General features: G+C 40.0%; 1 pseudogene across 1 annotated transcript; it reads left to right on the forward strand.

Annotated features, from left to right (window-relative positions):
- The first annotated feature begins 3,169 nt into the window (after positions 1 to 3,169).
- On the forward strand, positions 3,170 to 4,090 carry OR4C45 (olfactory receptor family 4 subfamily C member 45 (gene/pseudogene); annotated as a pseudogene). Its single transcript, NR_160275.1, has one exon. The product of NR_160275.1 is annotated as an olfactory receptor family 4 subfamily C member 45 (gene/pseudogene), transcript variant 1, non-coding (transcript).
- The last annotated feature ends 10,372 nt before the right edge of the window (positions 4,091 to 14,462 follow it).

The raw sequence follows: 14,462 nt of genomic DNA on the forward strand, positions 1-14,462 counted from the left end.
AAAGTTGAGAGCAGAAAAGGTGATTCCATGCAAAATTGCTGTCAGTTCCTCATCACCTCACAAGCTGAAGGAGAGAAGATAGCAGTGGAGCCTTCTTCTAGAATGTCTCTATTCTCCACCTCTGGATGTCATCATACGTAAGTGCTTGGCTGAATGTGATTGATTCTCAATGGCAATGTGGGAAAGCGTGACACCTACTCCAAGTCACACCATTCTCTCTTTGTGGGGTAGAAAGAAAAGATATATACTCTTGAATTCATCATGAGAACATGTCATCTAGGTAATCATCCTACAGGAAGTTGATATCTCTGTCAGTTTAAATGACCCAATCTTTGGTAGTTGGAAATCCTGCCATGTAAGTCCCCTCAGTCAGCCATTAATAAAAATCTCACAATCTCCCAGAGTAATCTGACGCATGACCTTGAATACTGGTATTCCCCATTCTTCAGAGCAACCATACCATTTAGACCAGACAAGGGTTCAGAAAAAAATTTATTCTCTGAACTCTGACCTTTGCCTAAAACCATGCCATATCCTAGGCTCAACAATGCCACAGTTAGCAAAACAGCCCTACAGTGAAGGTTTCCAAATCTTATCCTAAACAATAGCCACAGACATATCTTTAACCCAAGTTCAACTGCATTTCTAAAACTAGCCACTAATGACGTTTGTGAGTGCCAAGTGAGAGTGAATGAAGGACCTGACTATTGCTTTGCCAAACATTCCAACAAGGCCAATTGCTAATCCTCTGGATACTTGAAAGGTCAATGCATTGCCAAATCCTGCAGTCTGTGATAGTCTATTTAAATATTTCTCTAGAGCCAATGAAGAAAGAATTACAAAGAAGGACCTGTGAGCAAATGACAGCAGCAGAGACAGGATGCAAAATGATGAAGATTTGTTTGGGAAACACCACTCCTGAGCTTAGTGGGTTTCTAGGAAAACAGAGTTGAAGGAGAACTTGAATCATAAATAAAAGGAATTCTTTCACCACATTTTTCAGGGACTCAAGGAAACAAAATTTCATCAGAATAGATTTGAGAAAACAATATCCAATCAAGTGGATTTGATTTACTTATTCATTTTATAGTTGCATTTTCCAAATTTGAAGAATTTTGCATTATTCCTAGTTTTTAATCTGGATTGAATAGAGTCCTAAGAGATCTGAAAAATAGATATATTTTGAAGATTGGCTTATACATTCATAGGAAACCCAGAAAGTGAGTAGACACTCAATCCTAGAGATACTGAAGTTTCCTAACTGAAACATCTTGTTTTCTTAGTAAATTCAGACTGACAATGGAAAGCAAAATAAACTAAAATGTCAGAATTGGGAGAGCCATCTAGGGAATTCCAATATCCCACTTGTCAGCTCATAGAATCTATTTGTGGCCATGTTCCATGCCTGCAGGAGAAGAAAGCAGTGACTGCACTCAATCTAAAATTGGAGGAATCCACAATCAACTAGATCCGGGTCAGTGAAAACTATACTTTTTCTCCTAAATTTTGAGCAGATTAACTTGTTTTAGCCAATTTGTTTTCAGTGAAGTAGTTTTTGTCATTCCGTACTTGACTTAAAGTTGAGTATTTTTCTCTGAAAATGAATTTGGACACACTGACATAAAAATATCAATAGAAAAGCCTATGCATAATGTTGCCAGACCAGATGCTGCTAAAAACTTACTGAAGTCACTTTTAAAACATCATGGTTAACATTTATGTCTCACTGAATACACTGATTCTGTAGATTTCTGTTTGTCATGCTTGAAATGTTTTTCCCCTTTTCGTGACTTCCCATATTGCTACATTGAAGTTAGAATTTGTGAATTAAATCCATTAAGGATGATTAACCATATAATCACCATCTACAGAAGCCATGAATAAAGAGAAAGCAACTTAGCAACTGAGTTTTCCTGAAAACCAAAGATATTTTTACTCACCTTTAATGAAGCTCAGAGGTCATGACGCTGACTGATTTCTGTTTCTAGAAATTTTTGAGGAAAACTATGTGGTTACATTTTTGCCAGGGGTTAGGGAAAGAAGGAGAAAAGGGGGAGGAGAAGAAATAAAATATCTTATGCTCTTTTGTAACAATATGTACTTACTCTTGAAACTCTTTGTCTAGATTATTCAAAAATATCTACATTCTTATAATACTGAATGTTTTCCATTAGCAATACAAATTTCCAGTTGTTTACCAGTTAGCAATGAAAACTACAAGTTCATCTTAATTGACTGAACTTATGCCAAAAGAGAAAATTGCATTATCTCAGGTGACCCAGACATTTCTGTCTTGCCGATAGAAAACTCAGGGAAAACATCATGACTCATTTAATTCCATTTGTAAGATGTGAGTGGGGAAGTATATCTAATCTGGTGTATAATTCTGTATGTGATAAAAGTTCAACCGTGAGGGAAATGTATTTATGAAATATCATTAAATATTATAACTTTGCACCATTTATATAGCCACAATTAAAGATGCAGAAAGAGTGAGCATGAAAAAAAGGGTCATTTAGAGATAGATGCAACATTCAGGGATGTTGAATGAATTATCCTCAATGAGCTGTTATTGTGATAGTTACCCAGCATTCTGAAAGAAGAATATCTCCATTTGCAGCTCTGTCTCAATCTGTGTACATGTGCATTTACATGACAGAAAAGGACAATAGATCACAGAACACAGCTGGCTTAGAATTAGTAAGGCTTTGCACTTTAGTATCAAATATGCATATTAGTATCTAATACACATACTGGGTTCATATACCTATAAATAACCATAACAAGAGAAAATATAATTTCAAAACAATTGTTATTGATAAGATTTGTCCTCCCCCAAAATGAAAGAAAGCCATATGTGAAATTTTAGAGCCAGAAAGGAAGTTTGGAAGTCAACATTTATAACAAGATCTTGTTTGTGGTACTTGTAAGATATTATCACTATTTAATTAATATATGAATTAGGAGAAATCTAATCTTCTGTTCTTCTTTACAACTCTGCAAAACAGCAGAGGTGAGTGGCAATGTAGCTCCATCACCCCCAAAAACCAGGACTAAAGAGGTGATGAAATATTTTAGTATTGAATTTAAAATATCATCATTCAGAAATACTATTTTTTTTCAGGTGGGCCATATACACACAACCTGAGCTAAATCTATGAAAAAAGAGATGAACAATGTAACAGAATTCATCCTGCTGGGCCTCACTCACAATCCAGAACTGCAGAAATTCCTGTTTGTTATGTTTTTAATCACCTACTTGATCACACTGGCAGGTAACCTGCTCATCTCAGTCATCATCTTCATCAGCCCAGCCCTGGGTTCCCCCATGTACCTTTTTCTGTCCTAGTTATCCATTATAGATATTTTCTACTCTTCTTCCATAGCCCCTAAAATGATCTTTGACTTGATCTCTGAAAACAACACCATATCCTTCAATGGCTGCATGACTCAGCTCTTCACAGAACATTTCTTTGCGGCAGCTGAGACCATCTTATTAAGTGTCATGGCCTACGACTGCTATGTGGCCATCTGTAAGCCCTTGCACTATGCAACCATCATGACCCAATCTATGTGTGGATTCCTGATGGTGGTGGCTGGAATTCTGGGATTTGTGCATGGAGGAATCCAGACTTTGTTCATAGCCCAGTTACCATTCTGTGGCCCCAATGTCATCGACCACTTTATGTGTGATTTAGTACCTCTTCTGGAGCTGGCCTGCACAGACACTCACACTTTAGGGCCTCTGATTGCTGCCAACAGTGGGTCACTGTGTTTCCTCATTTTTTCCATACTGGATGCTTCCTATGTCATCATCTTGTGCTCCCTAAGGTCTCATAGCTCTGAAGGGCATCTCAAAGCTCTGTCTAGTTGTGCCTCTCATATCTTCACTGTCATCTTATTCTTTGTCCCTTGTTCATACCTGTATCTAAGACCTCTAACCTCCTTCCCCACTGACAAAGCTGTGACTGTGTTTTGCACCCTATTTACACCTATGTTGAACCCTTTAATCTACACTGTCAAAAATAAAGCAGTGAAAAATGTCATTAAGAAGCTCTGGAAGCAAATAATGACAACTGATGATAAATAAGTCTGGTGACACAAACATTTAGGCAAGAATATCTGGTGATATTTTATAGAGATTTATTCTATTTCTTGATTGATTAAACTTGGGACAGTCAATTATCTTATCCTGTCTCCATCAATTTTTATTAGGAGGACATATATTAGGCTAGGCTGACATATTTATTAAGGCACAGTAGTGCCAACAGCCCATGATACTTTTAGGAGCCGCTGAAATGCTTAATGCTTAATTTCTTTAAAAGAAGAAGAAGAAAATGAATATAATCTAAGTACAACTGGATTATATTTATCTTTATGCCAATACACTCATAAAATATAATTTTTAATACTTTTTATGGAGGAAAGAACTCACAAGGGCAAAAGTTTCAAGGGCTCACAAAATTTATATTGTTGCCTGCTTGTGGGTATGAAACAGATTAACAGCAACATTCTTGACACCTTTCATACTCAGCACTACAGCTAGAATGAAGTTTTATTTTACAAGAGGACAAACAACTATACATGAAAGGGCTAAAAACAACATTTTCATGAAAACTTACTTTTAAAAAATTATATCTCCATTCTCTATAGTATACAATTCTCTACAAAAATAATTGAAAGTATTTTTTTTTTTTTTTAGGCAGAGCCTTGCTCTGTCACCCAGGCTAGAGTACAGTGGCATGATATCAGCTTACTGCAACCTCCACCTCCAGGGTTCAAGCGATTCTCGTGCCCCAGCCTCCCAAGTATCTGGGATTACAGGTGCACACCACCATGCTCAGCTAATTTTTGTATTATTAGTAGAGACAGGGTTTCACCATGTTGGCCAGGCTGGTCTCAAACTCCTGAACTCAGGTGATCAGCTCACCTTGGCCTCCCAAAGTGCTGGGATTATAGGCGTGAGCCACTGCACCCAGGAAGAATTGAAAGTATTATTGGCTGGAGCAAAAGAAATATAATTGATAAATGTAACTGATAAAAATAAAGTTAAGGCAAAAAATATCTATACATTAAAATCTGGTTTTACATGCCAGCAAAGGAAAAGAAAGCACTGAAAACAAAACAGCTGAAAAGGAAATTACCAGAGATGTAGAAATAAGTTTGTATCATGAAACTGGATGACAGTGATCATAAATGTAGATTATAGAAAAGAATCCATATCAAGAATGTAATGAAATGCTAAAAGATTCAGATATAGTCAGATGCTTTGAAGTTAGGGATTAAGAGCCCTGGGTCAAACAGACTTGATTTCTCATCTGGTCTCCAGAATTAATTAGCCTTATAAATGTAAGCAAATTGTTTCACCTCTCAACCTGTTCCTTCATCAGTAAAAGGGAAATAACATTACATGTTTTTTTTTCAGTAATGATAATTAAATGATTTAAAGTGAAACCATGAGTCAGCTGAAAAGTCATAAAAATTGGTCCAACACTGAATACCCTTCAGGGATGGCACCGGAGTCTAAGGTATGCAGCAGACTGTGGTTCCAGACAAACGATAACAAGTACATCACCACTCTTCTTCAGTCCCCACAGGCGTAGCAGGATTCAATGTCTGTGTCAGACCACTGCATTTCAAAATCTAGCATGGCCGGGCGCAGTGGCTCATGCCTGGAATCCCAGCACTTTGGGAGGCCAAGGTGGGTGGATCACAAGGTCAGGAGATCGAGACCATCCTTGCTAACATGGTGAAACACCTTCTCTACTAAAAATACAAAAAAATCAGCCAGGCGTGTGGCGGGTGCCTGTAGTCCCAGCTACATGGGAGGCTGAGGCAGGAGAATGGTGTGAACTCGGGAGGCGGAGCTTGCAGTGAGCTGAGATCGCGCCACTGCACTCCAGCCTGGGCGACAGAGCAAGACGCTGTCTCAAACAAACAAACAAAAAATCTGTCATTAATGTCATCCGCTTACACATACAGACAGCACAACGGTAGGTTGTTTTCTCACCTGGGATGCTTACTGGAGCCACCAACCAGGTCTTTGGAAATTAAAGTCTATCCCATCACTTATTTTCTCTTCTGAGATGAAAATACTCTTCAATGTCTCTGTAGTTAAAATGAGGGAGCTGGTGGGGGCCACTGTGAGATGCCTGAGCAGAACTAAGTTTAAAAGCTCTGATGAATGACAGATCCCATCCTGTTCTGGTCCTCTGAAAGAAGGAGAAAGGAGAGTCAGTGCCAAGGACCAAAAGATCTGTCTGTACTTAGCTTGTGGTTCCTGTGGGAGAACTCAGAAACATGTTTTTAGGAGGACATTTCTAACCCATGGAGCTGCACATCACTGGATGCAGACATTTTCTGTGTTCTCGGGACCTTGTATCAGGTCACATCTTGCATGCAATGCCTTTTTAAAAATAAATGCATTTTCATAATTTCTTATGAGTGCCTATTTTGTAAATACATGCAAACAACACTGTTTTTAAAAATAAAATTTATCCTTTAAAAATGTAGTTGTATACCATTTGACCCAGCAATCCCATTACTGGATATATAACCAAAGGATTATAAATCATTCTACTATAAAGACACATGCACATGTATGTTTACTGCAGCACTATTTCCAACAGCAAAGACTTGGAGCCAACCCAAATGCCCATCAATGATAGACTGGATAAAGAAAATGTGGCACATATACACCATGGAATACTATGCAGCCATGAAAAAGGATGAGTTCAGGTCCTTTGCAGGGAAATGGATGAAGCTGGAAACCATCATTCTCAGCAAACTAACACAGGAACAGAAAACCAAACACTGCATGTTCTCACTCTTAAGTGGGAGTTGAACAATGAGAACACATAGACACAGGGAGAGGAACATCACACACTGGGGCCTGTTGTGGGGTTGGGGGCTAGGGGAGGGATAGATGAGTTGATGAGTGCAGCAAACCACCATGGCACGTGTATACCTATGTAACAAATCTGCACTTTCTGTACATGTACCGTAGAACTTAAAGTATAACTTTTAAAAAATGTAGTTGTAATTCCCAAGAAAAACAGAATGAGAAATAGGATAATACAAAAATAAGAATAATGATGACAATTGTGATAATGATTATAACTAATTTCTATTAAGCACTTTCTGTGAATGAAGTCCTGACCTAAGCACTCACTTTGTATGTTTTGTATGTATTGGAAGCAGTGAATTTCTTTTTTTAACATTTTATCTGACAGATAAAATTACATATATTTATCATGTACAACATGATGTTTTGAAATATGTATACATTCTGGAATTCAGGTGGATCATCAGGACTTGTTTTCCAAGCACCAGTCACAACCCCGCTGGTCAAAGCAGGATGCAGTAAAGAAACTGGCTGAAATCAGCTAAAACCAAGATGGCAATGAAAGTGACTTCTAGTCATCCTCATTGCTCATTATACTCTAACTATAATGCATTGGCATGCTAAAAGACACTCCCAACAGTTCCCTGACAGTTTACAAATGCCATGGCAATGCCCAGAAGTTACCTTATACGGTTTAAAATGGGAGAAACCCTAGTTTCTGGAAACTCTCCACCTCTTTTCCAGAAAATTCATGAATAACCACCCACTACTTACCATAGTTAAGGAGTAGCTATAAATATAACTAGCCAGCAAGCAAGCAGAGCTACTCTGCCTATGGAAAAGCCTTGCTCTGTCTATGGAGCAGTCATTTCCTTATACTTTGTTGCTCTAATAAATTTACTTTCAGTTTGCTCTGAATCCTTTCTGGCACAAAGCCAAGAAACTTCACAGGCTGAGCCACAGTTTTCAGGTTCATCTGCATCATCTTTCCTGGTGAGTACGAAGGGACCAATAACATGAAGGGACTAACAAGCTGAAGGGATCTGTGGGAGACAATTACCTGAACCCCAAATTAAGACCAATTGGCACCATTTGGCCTTCATGGATGGGAGAGCGTCCCCTTCGGTCACCCTCCTATTCGGACAATTATTTCTATTCGGGCCTTGTTTGTTTCTTTTGTTATTTTGAGAGGTTCCCCATGGCACTCTGGATTTTTTTACATTCCCTCTAGGGTTGTGGGTTAGAGTCCCACCCTAGGGGCAATCTTGGTCTTTGTCATACCACCATTTTCAGCGACCTCCTCTAGTCCCTCTTTTTCCTCAACCAAAATGCTTTCTTCCCTTTTTGTGGAATTCAGACTATGAGAATCCTGTCACCCTATTTTTTGGGGGCAGGGTTAAAAAAAACCAAGAACTGTATTGGCACAAATTACTGGTTTCTATCCCATATTTTCTCAATTATCTTTATTTTTTATTTTTTATTTTTTTTTACTTTAAGTTCTGGGATACATGTGCAGAACATGCAGTTTTGTTACATAGGTATATACATGTGCCACGGTGGTTTGCTGCACGCATCAACCTGCCATCTAGGTTTAAAGCCCCGTATGCATTAGGTATTTTTCCTAATGCTCTCCCTCCCCTTTCCCCCTACCCCCCAACAGGCCCCGGTGTGTGATGTTCCCCTCCCTGTGTCTATGTGTTCTCGTTGTTGAACTCCTACTTATGAGTGAGAACATGCAGTGTTTGGTTGTCCATTCCTGTGTTAGTTTGCTGAGAATGATGGTTTCCAGCTTCATTCATGTCCCTGCAAAGGAGATGAACTCATTTTTTTTTTCTGTCACCCTATTTTCACCTCTCCTTCTGTACTTTGCTTATTACAACACTCCTTTTCTTGTATTCCATTTGCCAGTGGACACAGTCATCACTCCACTGATCACTTATATCTCATAATTCACTTTCATCACACCCTGCTAACTGTACTTACACCCTCTTTGCAGGAACTGGTGACAACTTCCCCACTGATCTTTCTTGAGAAAAAAAGGTGAGAATTTAAAAGGGAAAATAACTGGGCTCTCATTAGACTTAGAAAAACTTCTGTAGGGATCCTCGTTAGACACGGCGACAATAGTGAGCATCCCGAAGAACTCATCACTAGGGTGTCTTTTAGGCAATTGGAGTAAATGCAAATTAGACAGCTTCAAGGGAAAGAAATTCATTTCCTATTGCAATATGATTTGGGTCCAATACAAATTGGAAGACCAAGAAATTTGGCCTAAAAATGGTTATTTACCTTATAATACTATTTTACAGTTGGACTTATTCTGTGAAAAGGAAGGAAAATGGACAGAGGTCCCTTATGTACAGGTGTTTACGGCCCTTTACCAGAACCCTCACTTAAGGGAGAGCTGTAGGATGTGCCTGGCTCATGTTACTTCCAGATACCAAGAAGATGCACTTCCTAGATGATACCCTCCTAGCTGCTCTCCCTAGGAGGCCCACATGTCCCTTGGAGCCTCCTCAGTTCCCTGATTCTGAGGGGAGTCCCACTAGTTTTCCAGCCCAGGATTTCACCCTAGGGTCATCAGACTCCCCTCCCACTTAGCCAGTTAGGCCCAACCTATACCCCTGCTGCTTGAGGAAATAAGCCCAACCAGTACCACCAGGAGTGATGCCCCATATCAGCCCCTAAAATTGAACCCGTGACCATTGCAAGAGGTAGCTGACAGAAATAGGGGAACAATTAGGGTACATGTGCCTCTTTCTGCGTCTGATTTGACTTTATGCAAGGAGAAATTTGGCCCATTTTTGGAAGATCCAGGGAAGTTTATAAAGGAATTTATTAAGTTGACCATATACTTTATCTTGACAAGACTTGCAAATATTATTGTCCACCTGCTGTACCACAAGACAGAAACAAAGGATTCTGGGTACTGCCCATGAATATGCAGATGGAGTAGCTACTTGAAACAAAAGCCATGCCATTTATCATGTGAAGGGAGATGCAGTTCCAGACTTGGACCTCAGTGGGGTTGCCAGAGGGGTTCCCAAGATTTCAAATGCAGAAATCACATGGTAACTTATTTAATAGAAGGTATGGAAAAGATATGGTTAAGCCAGTTATGACGATGTTACAGAAGTAAATCAGGGGAAGGAAGAACATCCTGCTCTGTTTCAGGACAGTATGGCTGAGGCACTCAGGAAATACACTAATGCAGACCCAGACTCCTGGGAGGAGCAAGCTCTCCTAGGTATAAATTTTATTACTTGATCTGCCCTTAACTTAGGAGGAAACTACAAAAGGCAGAAATGGGACTTCAAACACCCAAGAACCAACTCTTAAACACGGCCTTTGGAGTTTACAACAATAGGGACAGGGCAGAGAAGGTGAAGAAAATCTGAAGAAATAGCCAAAAAGTTATTAATTCAACATGGATTAAAGACTTAAACATTAGACCTAAAACCATAAAAACCCTAGAAGAAAACCTAGGCATTACCATTCAGGACATAGGCATGGGCAAGGACTTCATGTCTAAAACACCAAAAGCAATGGCAACAGAAGCCAAAATTGACAAATGGGATCTAATTAAATGAAAGAGCTTCTGCACAGCAAAAGAAACTACCATCGGAGTGAACAGGCAACCTACAAAATGGGAGAAAATTTTCGCAACCTACTCATCTGACAAAGGGCTAATATCCAGAATGTACAATGAACTCAAACAAATTTACAAGAAAAAAACAAACAACCCCATCAAAAAGTGGGCGAAGGACATGAACAGACACTTCTCAAAATAAAACATCTATGCAGCCAAAAAACACATGAAAAAATGCTCACCATCACTGGCCATCAGAGACATGCAAATCAAAACCACAATGAGATACCATGTCACACCAGTTAGAATGGCAATCATTAAAATGTCAGGAAACAATAGGTGCTGGAGAGGATGTGGAGAAATAGGAACACTTTTACACTGTTGGTGGGACTGTAAACTAGTTCAACCATTGTGGAAGTCAGTGTGGCGATTCCTCAGGGATCTAGAACTAGAAATACCATTTGACCCAGCCATCCCATTACTGGGTATATACCCAAAGGACTATAAATCATGCTGCTATAAAGACACATGCACACGTATGTTTATTGCGGCATTATTCACAATAGCAAAGACTTGGAACCAACCCAAATGTCCAACAATGATAGACTGGATTAAGAAAATATGGCACATATACACCATGGAATACTATGCAGCCATCAAAAATGATGAGTTCATGTCCTTTGTAGGGACATGGGTGAAATTGGAAATCATCATTCTCAGTAAGCTATCGCAAGGACAAAAAACCAAACACTGCATGTTCTCACTCATAGGTGGGAATTGAACATTGAGAACACAAGGACACAGGAAGGGGAACATCACACTCTGGGGACTGTTGTTGGGTGGGGGGAGGGGGGAGGGATAGCATTAGGAGATATACCTAATGCTAAATGACAAGTTAATGGGTACAGCACACCATCATGGCACGTGTATACATATGTAACTAACCTGCACATTGTGCACATGTACCCTAAAACTTAAAGTATAAAAAAAAAAAGAAATAACCAAAAAGCACAATTCTTAGTGGCTGCCTTAAACTCTGTGCCACCTCAGGATTACCCATTCTGAGAAAGTGTCATGAAATCAGCCTCTGGGATGCCCAGGTGAAAGTCTCTGACTTGCTGTCCCCTCGGCCAGTGTTTTTTTCTGTAAGCAAGAGGGCCATTGGGAAAGGGACTTCCTCAGGCTCTGAAGAAAGCCTCGGCTACCCACACTCACAATGGCTAAGAGAACAGAGGATTGAAGGGGCCTGAAGTCCTCCATGGTTCCCACTGTACATCTTGCCATCTCCACAGGAGATCCTTGGCTAACCCTTGATGTGGTAGGTAAGAAGACTGAGTTCTTATTGGGTAAGAGTTCTGACCCATTTCTCAGGGCCAGTTGTCTTCCTGCTCTTATACCATAACAGAGATTGATATCCAAGAATTAGGAGATTCACCCACTGCCTTGGTTGCAATGTGCAGGACCATAGGTTTTAAACCTGAGTGCCCTGTGTCTTTACTGGGAAGGGACTTACATTCCCAATTACAGGCCACAGTTCAATTTGAGGAGCCTTATGATAAGGCAATAGGCCAGGAAGGGCTCTAAGTGAATAACTTAATACACACAGATACATAAAAGACCTCCCTTCCACTGCATATTACTTCTCAAGTAGACCCCTCTGGGAAATAGAAGTTGCTGGTAGAGCTGTTAATGTACCCCCAGTCCAGGTTACCTTGAAGCCCAATGTTGGTTACCCATGGAGGAAACAATATCCATGAGACCTGAAGCACAACTGGGCATACAACCCCTGATAGCAAAGTTTCTAAAGTATGGACTACTACAGCCCTGGCAGTCCCCATGTAATACCCCCATCCTGTGTGTAAAGAAGGAAAATGGGGAATACAGATTTAAGCCCTGAGGACAGTTAATGAGGTATTAGTCACTGCCTACCCAATAGTTCCTAACCCTTACACAATATTGAACCAAATCCCCGAAGATGCTAATTGGTTCACAGTATTAGATTTAAATGATGCTTTATTTTACATATCTTTACACCCAGACGTCCCAGTATATTTCTGCTTTTGAATGGACTGATCCAGACCCTCATGCTATATCTCAGTTTACCTGGACTCTTTCCTCCAAGGTCATAGGGACAGTCCTCATCTCTTTGGGAATGCATTGACAAAATAATTAAGGGAATTATAGTTAAAAAATGGATCCATTTTACAATATGTAGATGACCTATTAATTTCCAGCACTACTAGAAAATACTCTAATAAAAATACAATTCAGGTCCTTAATTTTGGGAGAAAACAAGGGTATCGTGTATCCCCCCCAAGCACAAGGCCCAGATTTCTATTCAAAATGTTAAATACTTGGGATACATGTTCCCTCCTGGGACAAGGACCCTAGCGCAGAAACAGAAAGAGACCATCCTGGCACTCCAGCCCCTTCAGACTAAGAAATAGTTAAGAACCTTTGTGGGAATGACTGGATTATGCTGGATTTGGATTCCTGAGTTGGGGCTCATATCAAAACCACTCTATGAAGGTCTAAAAGGGAATGATCATGAGCCTTTGAACTGGGATGGAACCTGCCAACAGGCATTTCTAACCTTAAAAGAAAAGATGGGAACAGCCCCTGCTTTGGGACCTTTCACCCTCTATATGGCTGAAAAACAAGGGACAATTTTGGGTGTTCTAAATCCAAGGCTCAGGAATTATCCCAGATGAATGGCTTCTCTAAACAGCTGGAACAGATGGTGGCTGGATGGCCAGGATTCTTGCAAGCTATGGCCACCATCACTCTATTGATAGAAACAGACAGTAAGTTTACCTTGGTGCACCATTTAGATGTTATGACCTCCCCATCAAGTACAGGAGGTTCTAGAGGCAAAAGGACGTCCATGGCTAATAGGAAGCCAGTTACTTAAATATCAGGCCCTTCTGCTTGACACCCCCAGATGTTACCCTTAAGGTATATTAAGTTTTAAACTCTGTTACCCTGTTCCCAGACTTCACATCCCAAGAAACAGGTCCCCAATTCATCCACTCCTATGTGAAAACCATGGAACAGACCTACTCTAGCAGGTCTGACCTTAAATATGAGCCCCTGATAGCTTTGATGTTTTGTGGTCTACAGACAGGAGTAGCTTTATTCATAAAGGAGTAGTAAAGAAGACAGGTAATGCTATGGTTAGCCAACAAGAAGTTATTAAGGCCAAAGTTTTACCTCCCCAGACTTCTCCTCAAAAAGTGGAATTAATTGTTTTAATAAGGACCCTCCAACTGGGAAAAGAGTCAATATATTTACTCATTCTAAATATGGATTCCTGATGCTCCATGCTCATGCTGCCTTGTAGAAAGAAAGAGGACTACTAACATCTAAGGGGTCCCCCATAAAACATCACTGAGATCTTGGAACTTTTAGATACTGTCCAGCTCCCAAAAGAAATAGCAGTTATTCATTGCAGGGGACACAATAAGGGAGACATGTCTAGTATTAGAGGAAATGCTCTGGCAGACAGAGCAGCCAAGGCCACTGCTACAAGAAGATCAGTACCACGGGCCACTGCACTAATGCCTGATACTCCACCCATGTCAGCAGAATCATACTGTACACCTGAGGAAATTAAATGAACATAACAGAAAGGCTTACAAAAGAGTCCCTCATGGTAGTTGCTAGAAAGCAACAAACTTTCTCCCCAAGGCTAAGCAGTGGAAAATAATTAAGCATTTCCATAACTCCTCACATTTGGGATGGAATTCTCTCTTCAAATTGGTTTCCCAAATATTCTTGGAGAAGGGACTATTCCAGACTGAAAAAGGGGTCACCAGGACCTGTGAACTCTGTGCCCATAATAACCCAGGAAGCCACCTACTCAAACCTTTATAACATCAAGGAACATATCCTGGGGAAGACTGGCAAATAGATTTCACTCAGACTGCCTTACAGAGGACTACAATATTTGCTAGTACTTATAGCCATTTTCACCAGATGGATAGAAACTTTTCCCACAAGGACAGAAAAAGTATTGGAAGGGTCCAAATT

This window comes from Homo sapiens, chromosome 11 (assembly GCF_000001405.40).
Source record: "Homo sapiens chromosome 11, GRCh38.p14 Primary Assembly".
Lineage (NCBI taxonomy): Eukaryota > Metazoa > Chordata > Mammalia > Primates > Hominidae > Homo > Homo sapiens.